The sequence below is a fragment of the Homo sapiens genome, chromosome 11, assembly GCF_000001405.40.
Source record: "Homo sapiens chromosome 11, GRCh38.p14 Primary Assembly".
NCBI classification, from domain to species: domain Eukaryota; kingdom Metazoa; phylum Chordata; class Mammalia; order Primates; family Hominidae; genus Homo; species Homo sapiens.
Window position 1 is genome coordinate 8,856,825 of NC_000011.10, and position 21,602 is coordinate 8,878,426.

General features: G+C 42.6%; 1 protein-coding gene across 6 annotated transcripts in view, besides 2 other annotated features; it reads right to left on the reverse strand.

Annotated features, from left to right (window-relative positions):
- The window catches only part of DENND2B (DENN domain containing 2B), a 217,600-nt gene that overhangs the window by 163,473 nt on the left and 32,525 nt on the right, over positions 1 to 21,602 (reverse strand). For 4 of the 6 annotated variants that reach the window (NR_164822.1, NM_001376496.1, NM_139157.3 and 1 more), the window contains exons 1-2: positions 14,510 to 14,545; positions 14,130 to 14,264 (exon numbers count right to left, since the gene is read on the reverse strand). The exons of 1 other annotated variant lie outside the window; for it this stretch is intronic. The gene's annotated coding sequence lies outside the window, so the exon portion shown is untranslated. Of the gene's footprint in view, positions 1 to 14,010; positions 14,079 to 14,129; positions 14,265 to 14,509; positions 14,546 to 21,602 lie in introns of those variants that run through there. One more of the 6 variants, NM_001376497.1, reaches the window with a different exon arrangement.
- Positions 6,109 to 6,609: an enhancer, noted in NCBI's record as "H3K4me1 hESC enhancer chr11:8884480-8884980 (GRCh37/hg19 assembly coordinates)". NCBI's record gives its function as "activates a minimal SCP1, AML or CMV promoter by ChIP-STARR-seq in naive H9 embryonic stem cells {active_cell/tissue: H9 hESC(naive)}" and the evidence as "EXISTENCE:reporter gene assay evidence [ECO:0000049][PMID:30033119]".
- Positions 6,610 to 7,110: an enhancer, noted in NCBI's record as "H3K4me1 hESC enhancer chr11:8884981-8885481 (GRCh37/hg19 assembly coordinates)". NCBI's record gives its function as "activates a minimal SCP1, AML or CMV promoter by ChIP-STARR-seq in naive H9 embryonic stem cells {active_cell/tissue: H9 hESC(naive)}" and the evidence as "EXISTENCE:reporter gene assay evidence [ECO:0000049][PMID:30033119]".

A 21,602-nucleotide genomic window follows, 5' to 3' on the forward strand; every position in this document is an offset into this window, starting at 1 on the left:
CTCCCTGCAGCCTTGAACTCCTGGTCTCAAGCAATCCTCCCACCTCAGCCTCCCGAGTAGCTAGGACTACAGATGTGTGCCACCATGCCCAGCTAATTTTTTACTTTTTGCAGAGACAGGGTCTCACCATGTCACCCAGGCTGGTCTAGAACTCCTGGGCTCAAGCAATTCTCCTGCCTCAGTCTGCCAAAGCACTGGGATTACAGGTATGAGCCACTGCACTTAGCCCCATCACTATTTTCACATCAGTATAATGTTATCTTGTATCCCTCCTGTCCTAACCTGGCCCAGGTTTCTTAGAAGAATTATCATCTGGATACTAAAATGTCATTTATAGCCGCATACAGAATTAAGGCAAAATACCAGGTCTCCTCCTTCTTATCCCCAAACTCTATTAGAAAGCTGAGTATACACATATTGCCTGATAATTTCATGTCATCTTCTCCAAAAACCACCACAAATCTCTAAAAACAGAAACAGAAATAACTAAAATGATACTAGGCCCTTAGCAATAATACCTGGATTGTTACAAGGGCCTCCTAACTCCTCTTAGCTTCTAGTTTCCTCCTCAATTCCAATCCATTTTCTATACTATCCATTCTGTCACCATCCCTGTAGAGAAAGACAGAACAATAGTCAAAGCATTTTCACATGCCTCCCACTCATTCCAAACTCAAAGTCTTCAAGATGACATTCAAGATCCCAGAGGATCTGATTCAGCCTGGTCTGTCTCCGATGGGCTCCTTTATAAACCTGCTGATTCCAATAGACCACCTATTTCCAGCCCATACAAGCCAACATCTTTTCTGCCTCTGGGCCTTTGCTCATGCTGCCCCTGGTTACTCCCCAACCCCCAGAGTCCTCCTGGATTCTGAAGGCAGCACTGTGTAGAAGAAAGGGAACTAAATTAGGAGTCAAAACACCTGGATGCCAGACGTGGTTCTGACATCAACTGGTTGTGTGCCTTTGGGCAGGTCCTACACCTCTCTGGGCTCAGTTTCCTGTCTATAAACAGAAAGATTGGACTAGTTCACCCTATAGCCCTTCCACCTTTAAAAAAAAGTATTCTTCGATTCCTATATGCTCGACCAAATCCAATCTCTCCTTCAAAGTCTGCAGGTCCTCCAAGAAATTTCTCTGAGCACTTCAGCCCACACTATTCTGTCCCCTCTGTGTGGAATCCAGAACAAATTACACAGTGCATTCATTCAACCAAGATTTCTGAGCATTTTCTTGGCCATGTTATGATAGCAAAGCCTTGGTAATAAACATAAAACCAGTTAGGACCCAGGCTGTAGTTATCACCTGTACCTCCCTTTCCTCTCCACTATTTTTACCCAAGTGAAGTCATGAACAGCAAATGAATGCAAAAGATACCATTTAGTCATTTATTTAACAAATATTTAAAGAAAACCTTCCATGTCCTATTCTAAAAAGTAAAGATATCAGTAAACAAATGGATCAAGTCCCTAACTTCATGGAGTTTATTTATTTGGGAAAGCAGACAGGAAAAACACAGAAATATGTAATATAATTTTAGGAAGAAAAAGAAAGGAGGGGATTAAAGAGTGACTCGGAGCAGTTTTACATAGGATGGGCAGAGAAGGCCTCCCTGAGGTGGCACACTCGAGCCCACACTCAAATGAACTGGGTGACAAACCAGCAATATTCAAGGAGAAGAGCATCCTAGGAGCAGGCAAAGGCCATGAGACAGAAGAGATGGGAGGAAGGCAGGAGCAGATGGGAGAGCTGGGGCTTAGACCACACAAGAACTTGGTAGTAAATGTGCATTGTACTTCTAAGTGTGATAGCATTCCATATGAGGGTAAAAAATATATATATTCTCATTGCTATGTGGAGAAGAGACTGCAAAGACAGGAGCAGAGGAGCCAGGACCAGCTGAGGATGGCTATTCTGAACCAGTCGAGGGCTTGGCTGGTCACCCAAACTAGGTCATTTCCTGGCTCTCCAGCTTATAAGCTGTGTGAGCTCAAGAAAGTCCATCTCTTGTCTCAGTTTCTACACCTTTAAGCAAGGATAATAAAAATACCTATATTATAAGGTTGTCTGGAAGGCTAGATTAGTGCACATAAAACCCTTACAACAGCCTCTGGCAGCCAGTAAACATTCCATAAATGCTAGTACTTCAAAGCCAGGGAATCACCTAAGAAAAGTGAAGACAGAGACAAGAAACAGGCTGAAGACTGAGCCCTTGGGCGCTCCAAAAGCTCCAAAGGCCTCCATTTGGCCCAAGATTTGCCATAAGCCTGCACGTCCTAAACCTTGTCTGGGGCTCCAAACCCCCTGTATGTATCAATAACTCAAAATTTAGAGCTTGATGATGTACTGCTTTATATCATTCTTTAGGTAACAATTATATGTTCTAAGTTCAGGTTATCACTTTCCCTCAGTTGTATTGTATATCTACTACCAGGCTTGGCATAGGGTTAGATAAACACTAACGTGTTTTTTTGTTTGTTTGTTTGTTTGTTTGTTTTTTTGAGACAGAGTCTCCCTCTCTCGCCCAGGCTGGAGTGCAGTGGCGCGATCTCGGCTCACTGCAAGCTCCGCCTCCCGGGTTCACGCCATTCTCCTGCCTCAGCCTCCCGAGTAGCTGGGACTACAGGCGCCCGCCATCGCGCCCGGCTAATTTTTTGTATTTTTTAGTAGAGACGGGGTTTCACCATGTTAGCCAGGATGGTCTCAATCTCCTGACCTCGTGATCCACCCGCCTCGGCCTCCCAAAGTGCTGGGATTACAGGCGTGAGCCACCGCGCCCGGCCACGTGTTTTGCAAATACTCATTCATGGATTATATCATGTATATTTCAAAGAAATCAATGTAAGGCACTATACTTCCTTTTAAAACAAAGAACCATCTTCTCTTCAAGGAATAATGTGAATTATAAGTTATATCCTCAGCACTGCCCCACTACCCCCACTACCCTATCAGTCCCATCTTGGCAGAGACAGGCATGCTGACCAAAGAAGTTACACCATCTGCCATGCCATTTTCCCACCTGACTTCCTGTCCACATGCTTTGTGAACAAAGTTTTCTGTCTCTTCTTTCCTGGAAATTTCTCAAGCTGTAAAAACCTCCCATACCTAGCAACATGTCACACCTGCCCCTGTCCCCAGAATTCCCCATGGCCCTTAAAAAAGCCTAAACAATGAAGCCAAAATATTCCCAGAAAAACAGGAGCATCAAAACTTAGGAAGAAAAGAGGGAAAGAAAATGGGCATAACCCAAATAAACACCTAGAGAATCATCCAGCAGGGTTCTTCCCGCCAAGGTACAGGAATCTCAGTGCCTTCAACTAGTTACTATGAATATTTATAAAATGACCTTAGGAAGTCCTAGCCAGAACAATCAAGCAAGAGAAAGAAATAAAGGGCATCCAAATTGGAAAACAGGAAGTCAAACTATCTCTGTTTGCTAATGATATGATTGTACACTTAGAAAACCCTAAAAGATGCCTAGATCCTCCAAAAGACTCCTAGATTTGATAAATTCAGTAAAGTCTCAGGTTACAAAATCAACGTACACAAATCAGTAGCACTGCTATATACCAACAACCACCAAGATGAGAATCAAATCAATAACTCAATCCTTTTTAATACCTTCAAAAACAAATAAAATACCTAGTAATATACTTAACTAAGAAGGTGAAAGAGCACTACAAGGAGAACTACAAAACGCTGCTGAAAGAAACCACAGGTGACACAAACAAATAGAAATACACCCCATGCTCATGAAATCAAAGAATCAATATCATGAAAATGAGCATACTACCCAAAGCAATCTACAGATTCAATGCAATTCCTATCCAAATACTAACATCATTTTCGAAAATATTAGAAAAAACAATTCTAAAATTCATATGGAACCAAAAAGGAGCCCAAATAGCCAAAGCAATCCTGAGCAAAAAGAAGAAATCTGTAGACATCACGTTACCTGACTTATACTGCAAGGCTATAGTAACAAAACAGCAATGGTACTGGTATAAATGTAGATACACAGACCAGTGAAACAGAATAGAGAACCCAGAAATAAGCCAAATACTTACAACCAACTAACCTTCAACAAAGCAAACAAAAACATAAACTGGGAAAAGATACCCTATTCAATAAATGGTGCTGGGAAAACTGGCTAGCCACACGCAGAAGAATGAAACTGGATCCCTATCACTCACCATATACAAAAATTAACTCGAGATGGATCAAAGATTTAGATCTAAGACATGAAACCATAAAAATTCTAAAAGAAAACTTAGGAAAAACTCTTCTGGACATTGGGTGAGACAAAGAATTTATGACTAAGACCCCAAAAGCGAATGTAACAACAAAAATAAATAAATAAATGGGAACTAATTAAACTAAAAGGCTTCTGCACAGCAAAAGAAATAACCATTAAACAGACAACCCGCAGAATGGGAGAAAATATTTGCAAATTATGCATCTGACAAACAACAAATACCTAGAATCTGCAAGGAACTCAAATAATTCAGCAAGAAAAAAACACTCCCATCAAAAACCGAGCAAATGATATGAATAAACATTTCTGAAAAGAAGATATACAAATAGCCACGAAATATATGAAAAAAATGCTCAACATAACAAATCATCAGGGAGATGCAAATTAAAACCACAATGAAATACTCTACCTTACTCCAGCCAGACTAGCCATTACTAAAAAGTCAAAAAACAATAGATCTTGACATGGATGTGGTGAAAAGCAAATGCTTATACACTGCTGGTGGGAATATAAATTAGTACAACCTCTATGGAAAACAGTATGGAGATTTCTCAAATAACTAAAAATAGATCTACCATTCAATCCAGCAATTGCACTACTGGGTATCTACTCAAAGGATGAGTCATTATATCAAAAAGATACTTGCACAAATATGTTTATCGCAGCACAATTCACAACAGTAAAGATACGGAACCAACCTAAGTGCCCATCAACCAATGAGTGATTAAAAAATGTGGTATGTATACACCATGGAATACTACTCAGCCATAAAAAAAGAATGAAATAATGTCTTTTGCAGCAACTTGGATGGAGCTGGAGGCCATTATTCTAAGTGAAGTAACACAGGAATGCAAAACCAAATACTGTATGTTCTCACTTATAGGTGGGAGCTAAGCTATGGGTATGCAAAGGCATATCGAGTGGTATAATGGATTATGGAGACACAGAAGGGGGAGGAAGGGAGGGAGGGAGGGGAGATGAAGGGTTACAAAGACTACATATTGGGTACCATGTACACTACTCAGGTGACTGGCACACTAAAATTTCAGACACAATTCATCCATATAATCAAAAACCACTTGTACCACAAAAGCTATTGAAATAAAAAATACATATTTTTAAAATATAATAATAATGAAACATTTAAAAATAAATACATAAATAAAATGACCTCAAGTGATAAGGGTTTCCAACAGAACAAAGGTCCAAGTCAGTGAGGGGAAAAAGATTAACTTTTTCACTCTTTTTTTTTTTTTTTTTTTTTTTTTGAGACAGGGTCTCACTCTGTCATCCAGGCTGGAGGTCAGTGCCACAGTCTCGACTCACTGCAATCTCAACCTCGGGTGATCACCTCAGGTGATCCTCCCATCTCAGCCTCCTGAGTAGCTAGGACCACAGGTGTGTGCCACTGTGCCTGGCTAATTTTTCTAATTTTTGTAGAGATAGGGGTTTACCATGTTGCCCAGGCTGGTCTCAAACTCCTGAGCTCAAGAGATCCACCTGCCATGGGCTCCCAGAGTGCTGGGATTACAGGTGAGTGCCACAGTGCCTGGCCAACTTTTTCACTTATTTATTCAGTTTCCACAGAACTATCTGGTCTTCTGTTTTTCTTCCCTGTCCTACCCACCCATGCTCCCACACGCCTAGCCTGGGTGATAAGCCGCAGAAAATAACGCTGACCCACCAGGACCACAGCTCTTGATGTGGCTTCAACCAAGTCTGAGCCTCATATCCTGAGATCTACCCCAGCCCTCCAGGGACCAGAAATAGTGACAAATACATGGGAACTATGTAGGCGACTCAAATGTAGACAGAGCTGGGCACATCATACTGCTCCCAAATTGGTTTTCTTGAACAAACCTAACCTGAAATAGACAAAGGCTGCTAGATGTTATTTTGCCAATACCTTTTGGCAGAGCTATTTCTAGCTAATTCTGATCACTGAGCTACTCATGGAGGTTTTAAAAATGGTCCATCTTTAAACCTACCATTTTGGGAGGCAAAAGTGGGAGGATTGCTTGAGCCTGGGAGTTCGAGACCTGTCTGGGCAACATAGGGGGACCCCGTCTCTAAAAATAAGTAAGTAAATTAATTAATTAAAAAAAATTTTAAATGGCCCTCTGAAACAAGATATAAAGTGGCCTCTACCCACGCCCCATGACTCTTAACGCCACTTTCTTTTTTTTTTTTTTTTTGAGACCGAGTCTTGCTCTGTCACCCAGGCTGGAGTGCAGTGGCACGATCTCGGCTCACTGCAAGCTCCACCTCTCAGCCTCCCCAGCAGCTGGGACTACAGGCACACGCTGCCACGCCTGGCTAATTTTTTTGTATTTTTAGTAGAGAAGGGGTTTCACCATATTAGCCAGGATGGTCTCTATCTCCTGACCTTGAGATCCGCTCGCCTCGGCCTCCTAAAGTGCTGGGATTACAGGCGTCAGCCACTGCGCCCGGCCTGCCTCTTACGCCACTTCCTATGCAAACACTGTGGTCCTGAGTGCTATTCTAATTCAAAAGAGTGACCTGTCAATGTACAAATGGGGGAAAAATAGCAAAACGGAATCCTCACAACTGATATTGCTGATTAACTGGACAAGAAGGATTCAATTAATATACTTTGACCTTAAGTGCCATTTTTCCATGTTAACCCACAGCACCAAATACTCATTTGCAAGTTGGGTTTTCTTTATCTCCAGGTATCTATGTACAGATTCGAGTGACTACTGAAAAGTACAAAGCTTTGATTCCCCTCCCATACAATTATACTATTTTCAAGAGAATTTCCATTCCCCTGGGACTTGGACCCAGTAGAAGAAGCCTTTTGGGTCTAAGTACTTAGAATGCACTCATCCCTGGCTCAAGAGGCAAGACCAGACTTTCAAGAAAAGCTTCTCCAGGCAGTCCTGGAGAAAGACAGCTATTGAGTGGCACTTCCTAATTCAAGGGGATATTATGCTAACTAGAGTTCCCGGCAACAGTAAATGTAATCCAACATGACTAATAGAAAAAATAACTGACTAGGCCCTGTTTACTCACTAGAAAATATATCCCCACATGATGAGCCTTAACAGAGGTCATCTCAGCTTCCAGAGACCAGAGTGTTGTAAAAACAGTTGCTTCCCAACAGCAATATTTGGATCAGGAGGTACCCAACACTCATATCCAAAACTAATTTCCCATCCAATTTCTTTTGTTGTTGTTGTTATTTTCACTCAGGGGCTCACTCTGTTGCTCAGGCTGGAGTGTAGTGACACAATCTCGGCTCCCTACAGCCTTGACCTCCCAGGATCAAGCAATCCTCCCATCTCAGCCCACCGTTTAGCTGGGACCACAGACACGCACCGCCACGCTCGGCTAATTTTTGTATTTTTTTCATAAGGACAGAGTCTCACTGTGTTGCCCAGGCAGGTCTCAAACTCCTGGCTTCAAGCAATCCTCCCAATTTGGCCTCCCAAAGTGCTGGGATTACAGGTGTTAGCCACCAGGCCTGGCCTCCATCTAATTTCTTAACTTCATCCACTCATTGATTCATCAAACCCCTAACATTAAGCATATTCACTGAAGAAAGGTAATAAGAGAATAAACAGATGCCCGTACACACCCCAGTGCTTTTTCCGCAGGAGATATTCAAAAACTATAGGACACAAGAAAGGAAAAGTATATAAATGATAGTGATACAGAGCACTTCCCAGAGACCAGTGTCTGACAGTCTCAGGACACTGACTCTGATTAAAGGCACTTTTTACCCCACTCTAGTTAGCCGCCTCCAAAAGGAAGAATGGAACAAGACGGAAAAAATTTAAAAAATCTAAATTCAAACTTGTCCTTGGCTAAATTTACATCCAAGATCCCAACTTCACATCAAAGAAAGAAAAAAGCCACCCAAAGTGACCCCTGCCTACTCAAAGGAGTTTCCAAAACATTAACAAACAGGGACAAATTCCCAGCATATTCTAATTACTATGACCTTTTATCATTAAGAGTCCCATAAAAAGGGGCTTATTTCTAATGCTACTAACAAAGGGTTAAGCAGATTATTTCTATCATATTTGCATGGAGATCCTAAATTCCAGTTTAAACAAATGATTCCCAGACTTCTAGATAGGCCTTAATTGGGCTAATCTGTTACTTTTAGTGCAATCTCGCAAAGGCTGGATTCTTCTTAAGCCCTTAAAGGACTTGAGTAAAATTCTTTTGATGGTAATTTTTTTAAAAGATCATCTCCAGAGTTTACATATATTCCACAATTACTTATGCTGATAGAAAAAAATATATATATTTTACTCCAAAAGGCTCCTTCCAGTTTGAAAGCTCTAATTGCCAACATATCTGATATGAACTTCCTGCATAAAACAAAACACAAAGCAACAAGTATAATCATAGGTCTAAAAAGAGAGACTTGTTAAGGAAAACAGAGAAAGCTCAGCTTGTTTAGCCAGAGGAAGGGAAGGAAAGGATGGGTACAGATGGGACAGTCTGTACATTTGGTAGCTGCCTTTGGAGTCCAGGAAAGACAATTTGTTCACTCTGTGAACATGTGTGCATTGAAGAGGGACAGGAAAACAGTAAAAGTAGGAAACATTAAAAGAAAAGCTAACTACAAGGAGATAATCTGTGATCATCAATCTGGAAACCTTCCTTAGAAAGTGTTTCCCAGGGAAATTGTGAGATCTCTTTAAGAGAGATTAAATCTCTTCAGAAAGATTTAAGGATATTTGGAGGTGGAGGAGGTCAAAATAGTCAAAGTTCTACCATACTAGGAGATTACATCTGAGTATCAAAGGGATATTCCAGTCCTGGGGAATTGTCCAAATGCCATCCCCACTAAAAAATAATTTAGACTATTTTTAAAGAGGATATTGCAGCCCTATTTTTCTTTTTCTTTTTTTTTCTTTTATTTTGAGACGGAGTCTCGCTCTGTCGCCCAGGCTGGAGTGCAGTGGCGCGATCTCGGCTCACTGCAACCTCCGCCTCCCGGGTTCACGCCATTCTCCTGCCTCAGCCTCCCCAGCAGCTGGGACTACAGGTGCCCGCCACCACGCCCAGCTAATTTTTTGTATTTTTAGTAGAGACGGGGTTTCACCGTGTTAGCCAGGATGGTCTCGACCTCCTGACCTTGTGATCCGCCTGCCTCGGCCTCCCAAAGTGCTGGGATTACAGGCGTGAGCCACCGCACCCGACCTGCAGTCCTATTTTTCTAAGCTCTTAGCTATCTTAGAAAACCTAAATCACCTGTTTAATAAATTATTAAAATGACAAGTACCAAATACAAAAACATTAACTATGTAAGCAATGCATCAAAAATGCAACCAAACATTTCTAACATTTAAATAAGGGCATTGCCAAAGTCTCTTCTTGAGGCCCCAACTCTCAAAACTAGGTTCAAGAGCATTCTCCCGGGAAGACATACCAAATGATCCCCAACCAACAATGAGCTTTGCCATTCTCTGGAGGAATGACCACATAACCTATAACCAGAGGCTACAGAGAAAATAAAATGACTTTCAGGTGACACAAAATACAAACTGGGAGAAGGAACCAAGGTGCTAATCAGGGTGTGACCACCTCTATCTGGCCCTAAGGGATTACCCTGATCTAGAAGAACTAGGAAAACTGAGCTCAGAGATCTCTCAAACATCAAATTCCAGGAACTTCTGAATAAATGGCAAAGCTGGAACTTTAACCCAGGTTTTTGTACTCCAAATCCCCTACACTAAGAGGGGTCACATTCCTCAGAGGTCCAAAACCCAAACTGAGTCATATCCTGACCCATGTAGAGGTCCTGGTGATAATTTCACCTATCAAAACCCCATTCAGTAAGGCAAGCTCTCCAAGGTGTGAGAGGCTCTTAAAGGTAAAAATGGGTGTGGAGAACCGAGATCATATTTTGATTTCGCATTTTTTATTTGACAAAAAACCATGGGTGACTCTAACATTAATTAAAAGAAAACTTCTTTAGTTGACAAACATCACTTTTCTGCCTGTCAAGCTGCCCCTCCTTAGTGAGCCCTCCTGCTAGGGGATATTCCTTGGCCAAACAACCAAGTCTCCAGAGCACTAGCAAGTTCAGAGGAAACGGCGTACAGGTTGCACAAGAAATAGCAAGAAATCCAGATTGTATTCAAAGCGGCAGACTAATTCTAGTAAAATGTCTCCACCCACTGCTGCCCTTCCTGAGCCCATTATCTGCCGAGAATCAAAGGGCCTGGCTATAAATGTGGGTGTCCAATGTCCTTATAAGCTCCATAAGCTGTATACATGAACAATACGATTAACTGGTAAGAAATGTGGAGGGGTAGGAAGACCTTTGCACATCTCTAAATCCTGGCTTTCCTATCCCTTCTAAATCCCCACGCAGGAACTCTACAAAGGCCTCCTGTTTTTCCTCCATAACACAAAGTGAAATAAATGTATATTTTATGTTAATCTTTCTCATAATTAAGAAAGGTAATCTAAATTCACTTTTACCTTACTAGTACCAAGTTTTAAAATTCAGCTTTTTTTTTTTTTTTTTTTTTTTGAGACAGGGTCTCACTCTGTCACTCAGGCTGCAGTGCAGTGGCATGATCATGGCTTACTGCAGCCTCAACCTCCTGGGCTCAAGTGATCGATCCTCCCACCTTAGCCTCCTGAATAGTTGGGACCACAGGCACATGCCAACATGCATGATTAATTTTTGTATTTTTTGTAGAGACAGGGTTTCACCATGTTGCCCAGGCTGGTCTCCAACTCCTGAGCTCAAGCAATCTGCCTGCCTCTGCCTCCCAAAATGCTGGGATTACAGGTGTGAGCCACAGCACCTGGCCAAAATTCAGCATTTTTAAGAAATAAGAGAATATGAGAGGAAAAGGCACATCAACTTACCTAAGATGTTTAGGGCGAGGAAAAGCTTTTAAACAAATTACAACATTGATCTACCTCTCAGGGTAGTCATGAAAGAAAAAACCAAAGCATTGCGAAACATGGGGGAACATAAAGGACAAACCAGCAGTGGCATTGATCCACATACACATTCCATTTCAGCGTATGCCTGGTAAGATTCAGCTCTTTTCTGATCCAGAGCAGCCCCGTGGTCACTCCAACTAGCTCTTTACCCAGTGAACCAAGCTACTCGCTGCAGGGTACAGTAAGTGAGACAGGAATTGAAACACCCAGATATCCTGGCTACATTTCCTTTTTGAACCTCCTCATTAGGAATTATGACTTGCACATGACTTGTGATGAGCATGTCACATTCCTGTACATAGATGTCACCTTAATCTTCTAAAATCACTGCTTTACCCATAGCTCCTTTTCTCAAAAATCTTTAAAACCTAAACAATGTCTACAGGATAAAGTTCCAGCCCTTGAGCCAGAATTCAACCTGACCACAGTTCGGCTTCCACTGGACCTCCCACTGCTCTTTGGAGAAGGCAGCTGTGAAAGCACCCATGTTAGTCTGAGAGCCAGGCATTGGAATTCCAGCTCTGCCACTTTACCACTTGTGTCATCCCAAGCCAGTTACGTATCTTTTTGATCTTGTCTTTTTAAAAACAAGAATTCCCTCATCTTTAAAACAAGAGCAACAATACCTATGTCACAACACTGAAGGATGAAAGAGAGAGCTGGCAGGTGGCATAGAGCAGATGCTATTACTTTTCTCTCTAGGTCCAGTCCAAATGGTCTGCTCTCCATTCTCTTGAAAGCTTTCCCCAGCAACTCTCCACCAGTTTCAGAAGCATACTTTGCTTCAAGGCTCTCCCCTCTTCTATGAAACCGCCCTGCCTCAGAATCATTTTCTCCTTGAGCTTTATAATTCTTAGATTCTAAGCCAAGTTTGTCCAACCTGCGGCCCATGGGCCGCCCAGGACGGCTCTGAGTGTGGCCCAACACAAATTCGTAAACTTTTAAAAATATTATGATTTTTTATGCGATTTATTTTAAGCTCATCAGCTATCCTTAGAGTCAGTGTATTTTACATGCGGCCCCAGGCGATTCTTCTTCCAGTGTGACCCCGGGAAGCCAAAAGATTGGACATTCCTGTTCTAAGCCAATTGATCTGAAATTATCCTTCACTCAAATGTCACTTCTCTTTCCCCAAGGAGTCCACAAACTCAAGACCAAGGATTTCCCTAATTACCAAGCCAATCCAATCTAAGCGTTCAGTAAAAAAATACTTTTAAGGTAAGAGTTGCCTTGGAGTTGTCTACCAAAATGGGTGCCCTTCTGGCCCAATTAGGGGATAACATTTCCCATACATACACTTGAACAATTTTTCTTCCCCCTATCTTGGGGAGTTTTTCCAAAGGTAATATTTGCCAGATAGCCTGGGCCCAGTGGCTCACGCCTGTAATTCCAGCACTTTGGGAGGCCCAGGCGGGTGGATCACCTCAAATCAGGACTTTGAGACCAGCCTGGCCAACATGGGGAACCCCATCTCTACTAAAAATACAAAAATTAGCCAGACGTAGTGGCAGGCGCCTATAATCCCAGCTACTCGGGAGGCTGAGGCAGGAGAATTGCTTGAACCCAGGAGGCGGGGGTTGCAGTGAGCCGAGATTGCGCCACTGCACTCCAGGGACAGAGAGAGACTCCGTCTCGAAAAAAAAAAAGAAAAAAATTTTTTAAATAAAAAATATATGCCAGATAAATAAAAAGGAGGGTTACATCTATGTTAGTCACCTAGGAACTCTCTGCCAGACCAGCAGAATTTAAGAAGCCTTCACTTCATGCATTCAACAGGCTCTTCTTGAGTTCTGGCCTTGTGCGGTCCTTAATTCAGCAAGGGAGATAGGCTGTGAACAATTCAGTCTCTATCTTGGATTAGCTTTCTGGACCCCAGATTACGTCTAACCTTTTAGAAACCCCTAATTCTGGCAAAAAAAAATCAATTAAGGGATTCACCTTCTGAAAAATATTAAAACAAAACAATGCAGCCCTTTGGGTTTTAACCCTGTGGCCCCATCCCAAAATGGCCAGTTGCAGTGTGTGCAGCTAAGAGGTAGCTGAAAACAGTCTTGCAGATGGGATAATGACCTCTTTGCCATTCCCAAGACCCTGCTATCCAAACAGCAGAAACACCTGGTTGGTAATAAAAGCAAGAGCTGGACTAAGGCTGTACTAAGGCAAATTTTCTCACTTAATGAAGAAGTTATTTTATTCATATTAATCATCAACTACTTTCATATAAAGATCCCAGGAAAATGCAATAAGCCCTCTTTAGAAACACTTGAAAACATTGTCTCTTGAACTCTACTCAGTTACTAAATTATTGGATAACGTGCCATAAACGTTGACTAGAGTGTGGACCCTTTAATACTTAGTGCGTGTCTGCACAAGGGCAAAAAGTGAACCATCCACAAATAAACATAGTTTAACTTGTTGCAGTAATAGCATGCAAAGTTAATTTTCCTTTGTTTGAGTTCCGTGTGTCTGTGTGTGTTGTGCGTGTGTATGTGTGTGTGTGTGTGCGCGCGCGCGCGCGCGTTCTTCAAGGAGCCTGCATACAAGCTGCAACAGCTCCAGGTAGGAGCTCGAATGCCGCCACCGAGAGGCAAGGCGGTGCGCAGAGCCAGCTCCCAGGACGTCCCGAGATCGGGTCTCCGCTCGGCACCAGGCAGCTCTTCACCGCCGGACTCTGGCCGCGAGGTTCCCCACCCCCAACCGCGCGGCCCCCGCCGGGCCGGAAAGCAGAGCCGGCGGCTACTGACCGCCCGGGAGGGCGGACCCCACCAGCCCCGCTCCTCTGCGCCTGCGGCGGCCCCCACGCGCGTACTCACGGAGCTGGACACCGCTGCCGGGGCCGGGAGTCGGGAGCAGAGGGAAAAGGGCTGGGAGGGCAGGGGCGGGACCGGGCGCGCACGCGGGAACCGGGGCCACCCGGCCCGGAGGCGCTTACCTCTGCGTTCCCCAGCCGGGCCGGGCGCGGCGCCTGGATGGGGTCTCGCCGGGAGCCGCGCGGCCCGGAGGAGGAGCCGCTCCTGCAGAGAGGGCGGGCGGCGGGCAGGCATCCGCGCCCCGGGCTGCGGCCGGGCTGCAGGGAGAGAGAGGGGAGGGAGCGCAGATTTGAGTGGAGGGGGCGTGGAGGATGTGCGCCTCCACCCAAGACAGAGAGGGTGGGCTGCTGGAGCCCGGCGGAGGGGAGCGCTCGGAGGCGCCGGAGGCAGCGAGAAAGCCGCGCCGAGAGTGTGCGAGGGAGGGTGGGGGACAGGGGTGAGGGAGGCGGGGGCCGGGGGCAGCAGGGAGGAGAAGTTGGCCCCCAAACTGGACGGCCCTCACCTCCTCACCATCCGACCAAGAGTTGTCTGGGTCTGGAGCAAAGCACAACGGGGTCTGAAACTTTATGTCATTTTCTCATACACACGTGACCCCCCTGGAGTCCAGATGGTTTCAATCACTGGAGGAAAAAAGCGGCTCTTCTGGTATGCGTGAAAAGCCGGAGCTGGGAGAGTCTGGGAAAAGCTGCCTGCACCGCCCGCCGGCCTTCAAACAAACCGATGAGCTCTTTCCCTTCTCCCAGTTCTCGGGCCTCGGGGGAGCCCTACAAAACCCAAATGAAATTCAAAGAAGCTACTTTTGGTACTGCAGCAGCAGCAGAACTCCCAAAGCACTAGGGTTCCAAGGAGCCTGGTCTCAACCGAAAGCTCCAAAAGGGATTCTGAAATTTTACTTTAAATACTCCACTGGTTTGCAAAAACAAAAACTAGAAAAGGGTGCCATTTAATAATAAAGCAATGGAATAACAGCACTGAGAATCTGTGATTTATTAGTGGAATTTGAAGGAAATCATTAGCCCAGTATAACAATCAACTTGGAAAAGAAAAATGTAAATTACTTAAGATCCAAACCCATACTTAGTGAGATGTTAGGAAATCGTGTAATCCATTTTTTACTCACGTAAATCACTGTAAATAAAATTTGATAATAGAAATGCACAACAGCAGCAATGAAAATTGACTTTTGAAGTTTCAGTTTTACATTGACTTTACAAATTTACATTTCTAAGGAACCAGTGTGTATGAACATAAGCAGGCTCCAAGGCCAGGACATGTTCCAAAATCCAAGCCAGTTCAATTGTCACATATCCTAAAGAGGTATTTACTCAGCTGCAGGGCAAGCATCAAAAATAATGAGTTTAAGATACATCCTGAGGCCGGGCGCGGTGGCTCAGGCCTGTAATCCCAGCACTTTGGAGGCCAAGGTGGGCGGATCACTTCAGGTCAAGAGTTCAAGACCAGCCTGGCCAACATGGTGAAACCCCATCTCTACTAAAAATACGAAAGTTAGCAGGAGTGGTGGCAGGCGCCTGTAATCTCAGCTACTAGGGAGCCTTGAGGCAGGAGAATCCCTTGAACCCAGGAGGCAGAGATTGCAGTAAGCCAAGATCGCACCACTGCATTCCAGCCTGGGCAACAGAGTGAGACTCCGTCTAAAAAAAAAAAAAAAAAGAAAAAAAAAGATACATCCTGGAAATAATTTAACTTGGTCAAGATCGAACACAAGTAATGGCAAGAACCAAACTGATAAAGTCTACTGTTCCTTTGCCAAAAAAGGATATTACACAGGAATTACTAGTATTAACTCTTTGTCTCCAAAATACTGAGGCCAAAGGACAGTTTGGCCTTTCTAGCAGAAGGCCTTATATGCGGTGTGATGCAGTCTGCGCATGAAAAATAAATCAATTCCTCGTTGAGTTGCTTCTACATTAGGAAAGCCCAAGATTTCAGCTGTTGTTGAGGCACATTGAAAACACAAAGGCCAAAAATCAGCACAGGTTTTACTCCAAAAATCAGAACAGTTTTACTTTAATCAGAACAAGTTTTTCTCCAAACTCACAATCTAAGTGAGTTTCTACTCTAGTTCACTGAAGTGCTTGAACACCTCAGGAGACCTGGGCCATATTTGGATGAACTTAGCCCTCTCCAGTCTTTTCCAATCTCTCCAATCTCAAATTAGGATGGTTCTGCCCCAAACGTGGAACAAGAGAACTCATGAATGTAAAGGCAAGCCACAGAATTTAGCCAGCCTCCAGGTAAATTCTACCTGCAGCTCTCTGAGCTCTGTAAGGAGGTTCTTAAGTCTCCCACTTTCAAAACTATTAGAACCTCTACTACTAAAGTCCCGTTTTTCTTGTAACATCTCTAAGGAAAGACAACTCAACAGACAGCATCAAGATTTTCTCTAATCAGACCCAGGACAATAATTATTTTCATCATTGGCAGCTGCTGCTGCTGCCTCTTATATGTGCTGAAGCAATGTAAGAGGGCAATAATTAGATATAAATACTTGTTCTTTTTGTTGGCCAATTCCATTGTAAGTTATGCATGGAACTGTTTTAATTCTTAGGAAAAAAACTTCATTAGATCTGCTCTCTCAGAAAGAAAAGTTAACATCCCTTAAATTGTCTAAATATAGTCTAAATATAGCCTTGAGTCTAAACTTCATATATGTGACTATTAGTTCATCTTAATACTGGCCAAATATTTATTAGAGACACTGACATCAGAAATGGTGTTAATGCTATATTTTAAATAGTAGTAATTTAGTAATTTGCGTTAACGTAATGTTCACATCACTTGACAAACAAGGTCGACTATGTATAAGAGATGGCAAGCTCTTTGAGGACAGCAACCTAGCCTGTCTTGCTAATAATTACATCCTATCTGCCTAGCACAGTGCCCAGCATGAAATAAGCGCACAGTAAATATATGCTGTCTGAATAAATGAAAGATAAATAAAAACACTCCTCATAAGGTTACAATCCTGTTGTAGAGACATGTGACTTATAAACAACAGAATGAAATCGCCATGGAAGGATACTAGCAACAAAAAAGAGGAAGGGATCATTAGCATTAGCCAGCTTTGGACTTTAATCACAGCATATATTGAGAAATGTGCAGAGACTGCTGAAAATAGGAAGCGCTTGTAGGAGGAATTTGGTAAATTTACTGCCTAATTTAGGGGTCTGAGATATACTTTCCCATGTTCCATTATTCAGTCCCATCAACACAGAGCCAAGACAAGATTTGAGCATAAACATCCTGGCTCTAATTTGGATAGTTATGAATACTGTTCCTTTCATCCTCTCTCATACGTCTCCTCCACCCGCAAGCCATTTCCTCTGTACGGTCTTCTGTCAGTCTAATGAAAGTTTCCTAATCTTTAGAAGCAGTAGCTTTGGTTCTCTTTGTGCAGAGAAGTACAATATGCCCTGATTACATGGTTATATTCCATACAGATGCCTGGCAACACATCTTGTAGCTAAGGGTCTGTTTAATATTTTAACCTTGAGAGCCTTATAATTCAACTACTTTGTTATATACCAAAATAGAACTTGACATCACAAAGATGAGCTTTACTTCCTTTTGCTATTTTAAATCCTGCACTTAAGCATGGTGAGTTGTCTGGGTTTTCTGGTTCATGGATTTTGCTTTGGCATGTTTTGTTTTTTCCTTTGAAGGACAGAAGGGTTAAGATTTTCTAGGAAGATTTTCAGGTTTGCAGGTCTAGCACTCACGAAACAATGATTTCTTCCTAGGTACTCTGCCTGTAATATTATATGTATTCATTAAAGGGGCAGTGAGGGTTGGGTTCAGTGGCTCATTCCTATAATGCCATTATTTTGGGAAGTCAAGGCAGGAGGACCTCTTGAGCTCACGAGTTTGAGACCAGCCTGAGCAACATAGTGAGACCCCAGTCTTTAAAAAAAAAAAAAAATTAGCTGAGCATGGTGGTTTATGTACACCTCTAGTCCCAGCTACTCAAGACATTGAGGTGGGAGGATTGCTTGAGCCCAGGAGGTCCTGGCTCCAGTGAATTATGATTGCACCACTGCACTTCAGCCTGGGCGGCAAAGTGAGACCCTGTCTCAAAGAAAAGGTATTGGGGCTGTGGGGCCTTATTTATGCTTCATGATCCAAACAACCAGTTTTCTCTAAAGCAGACAACTGGGAAAGGTGGTTAGCCTAGATGACTTTAAGTGTTCTAGGCCGGGCGCCGTGGCTCATGCCAGTAATCCCAGCACTTTGGGAGGCCGAGGAGGGCAGATCACAAGGTCAGGAGATGGAGACCATCCTGGCTAAGACGGTGAAACCTCGTCTCTACTAAAGATACAAAAAATTAGCCGGGCGTGGTGGTGGGCACCTGTAGTCCCAGCTACTTGGGAGGCTGAGGCAGGAGAATGGCGTGAATCCAGGAGGCAGAGCTTGCAGTGAGCCCAGATCGCGCCACTGCACTCCAGCCTGGGCTACAGAGTGAGACTCAGTCTCAAAGAAAAAAAAAAAAAACTACTAAATTTTCTAAATTGCACTGAGTAGGAAGCCCAGAAACCAAAATTTGCATGCAAAAATTTTTGACACTGTGATTTTTTTTTTTAATTTTACTATTCTTATTTTTTTTGAGAAAGAGTCTCTGTTGCCCAGGCTGGAGTGCAGTGGCACAATCAGAGCTCACTGCAGCCTCCCACCTTAGCCTCCCCAGTGGCTGGGACTACAAGCACATACCACAACACATGGCTAATCTTTTAAAATAGAGATTTTTAAAAATCTCTATTCTATAGAGATAGGAGTCTCACTGTGTTGCCCAGGCTGGTCTCAAACTCCTGGCTTCAAGTGATCCTCCCACTTCAGCCTCCCAAAGTGCTGGGATTATAGACATAAGCCACCACACCTAGCTGACATTTTGACCTAAAAAAAATTTTTTATATGTAGGTAAGATATACACCAGGTAAAAACTTCAGAAACAGTTTAAAAATATATAAATGATCCCCAATATATGGTGGTTCAACTTACAATCTTTTGACTTTACCATGGTGCAAAACCAATATTCCTTCAGTAGAAAGCATACGTTGAGTCCCCATACAGCATTCTGTTTTTCAGTTTCGGTACAGTATTCAATAAATTACATGAGATATTCAACACTTTATTATTTTATTTAGATCTACACAGAATTAAAGGAGAAAAATAAATGTAGTACTCCTGGTTAATATCATTAACATAAGTTACAGGGTTATTAATCAAGATCTTAAGAGAAGAATTAAGATATACTATAGGCCGGGCATGGTGGCTCATACCTGTAATCCTAGCACTTTGATAGGCTGAGACAGGAGGATCGTTTGAGCCCAAGAGTTCAAGACCAGCCTGGGCAACATAGCAAGACCCCATCTCTATATTATACTAAAGTACATATATATACTTTAATCTTGTCAAGCTGGTAAATCTCATTTGGATTTCAAGTATTACTGAGGTTTTAATATAAAATTAAAAATAAATTATTCATTTTCTTAAAATATATAAGGAATAAGTAAACTGAATTGTGTTACTTATGTCTTTTTTATAGTAGATTATATTTCCTGCCTTGGATACCATGCAGTGCCTTTTGTTCCCTCCCTACTAAGTGTACAGAAGACAGGATACATCCAATCAAAGTTCTCTTTCTATATCAGCTCACAAAAAGGTTCACTCCAATCCATTTATTTGATTTTATCCTGCTATGTTGTTTGGGGTTTTGTTCCAGATAGCAAGCTGTCTAATACTCATTTAGATAAAGTACAGGGGCTCATGCCTGTAATCCCAGCACTTTGGGAGGCCAAGGTGGGCCTATCACCTGAGGTCAGGAGTTCAAGACCAGCCTGGCCAACATGGTGAAACCCCGTCTCTTCTAAAAAATACAAAAATTAGCCAAGCATGGTAGCGAGCACCTGTAATCCCAGCTACTTGGGAAGCTAAGACAGGGAGAATTGCTTGAACTCCGGAGGCAGAGGTTGCAGTGAGCCAAGATTGTGCCACTGCACATCAGCCTGGGCGACAGAGCAAGATTCCGTCTCAAAAAAAAAAAAAAAGAAAGAAAGAAAAGAAAAGAAAGTAATAAGGCAGCTTGACTGCTGATGCTGGGCAGGCTGGATCTGAGAGTAAATGAGAGGAGATGTCAGGTGGCCTTTAGACGGACAGGAGACAAGCTCAGAAAGGCTCATCCAACCTGGATGGTCCCCTCACTCCTCTGTCTTGCTAAGTCATCCTTCTTCCTTCTCTCATGGGCTTGAAGATACTTTTTTTTTTTTTTTTTTTTTGAGACGGACTCTCACTCTGTTGCCCAGGCTGGAGTGCAGTGGTGCGATCTCGGCTCACTGCAAGCTCCACCTCCCGGGTTCATGCCATTCTCCTGCCTTAGCCTCCCGAGTAGCTGGGACTACAGGTGCCCACCACCATGCCCAGCTAATTTTTTTTGTATTTTTAGTAGAAACAGGGTTTCACCATGTTAGCCAGGATGGTCTCAATCTCCTGACCTTGTGATCCACCCGCCTTGGCCTCCCAAAGTGCTGGGATTACAGGCGTGAGCCATCGTGCCCGGCCTTTTTTTTTTTTTAAACACTAGTCAAATGAAGCAGTGGGAGCAGAGAAGGAACAAAGAAATCTGTAACTGGTTGTCATCAATTAGTTGTAAACATCACTGCACTTGAACCAGCCTGAAGATAATTTTTTATTGGAAGAAATTAAAGTCTAAAAATTTACTCATTTGAAACACTAGTTACCAATCTTTGTTCTAATGGTATCAGTCTTAGATTTAATGAATTATCTCCAGATAAAATAATGATCTATATTTGTCACTGAATTCACTGAATTTTACCCAACATGCATCCCTGAAACCAGACTTGTGAAATTTAATATCATTTTGTCATTCTCCATCTTACTGGCAAAACAGAAATCCATAGTTCCCCCCCAAAAAAATCACGATTGTATCTGTAGCTCCTTATTCATTTGTTTATTCATTCAATAAGCATTTATTAAACATCACAAAACTATTTTTGACACTGGGGGGAATAAAAGTAATAAGTTGTGTAAGCAAATTTAAAATCTAGTGATAAAGGCATTAATAAACAACTACTCAAAAATAATAGCATACAAGAGATAAAGAGGAGGAAATATGGGAATTTGCAGAACTAGTAGAGATTCTTACTAGAATTTAGAGAAAGAGGGTTGGAACTGAACCTTCAATGATTGTCAGAATTTCTATTTCAGTCATTAGAAAAGAAGGGGAGAAAATTTTAAGCCAAAGGAATTGCCTAAGCCATGAAAATGAGAAACCAGCTGTAAGAACAGTGACTGGTCCTCATTTGACTGAAGTAGGAAGTTAAAAAGGTAAATTAAGTGGGAATCAGTTTGGTGGTTCCTCAAAAAGTTAAACATAGAATTACCATGTGACCAGCAATTCCACTCCTGGGTATATACCCAAAAGAACTGAAAACAATTGTTCAACTACTTGTACACAAAAGTTCATAGCAGCACTATATACAGGACCAAAAGGTAGAAATAATCATGTCCATCAACAATTGAATGAATTTTTTTTTTTTTTTTGGAGACAGAGTCTCGCTCAG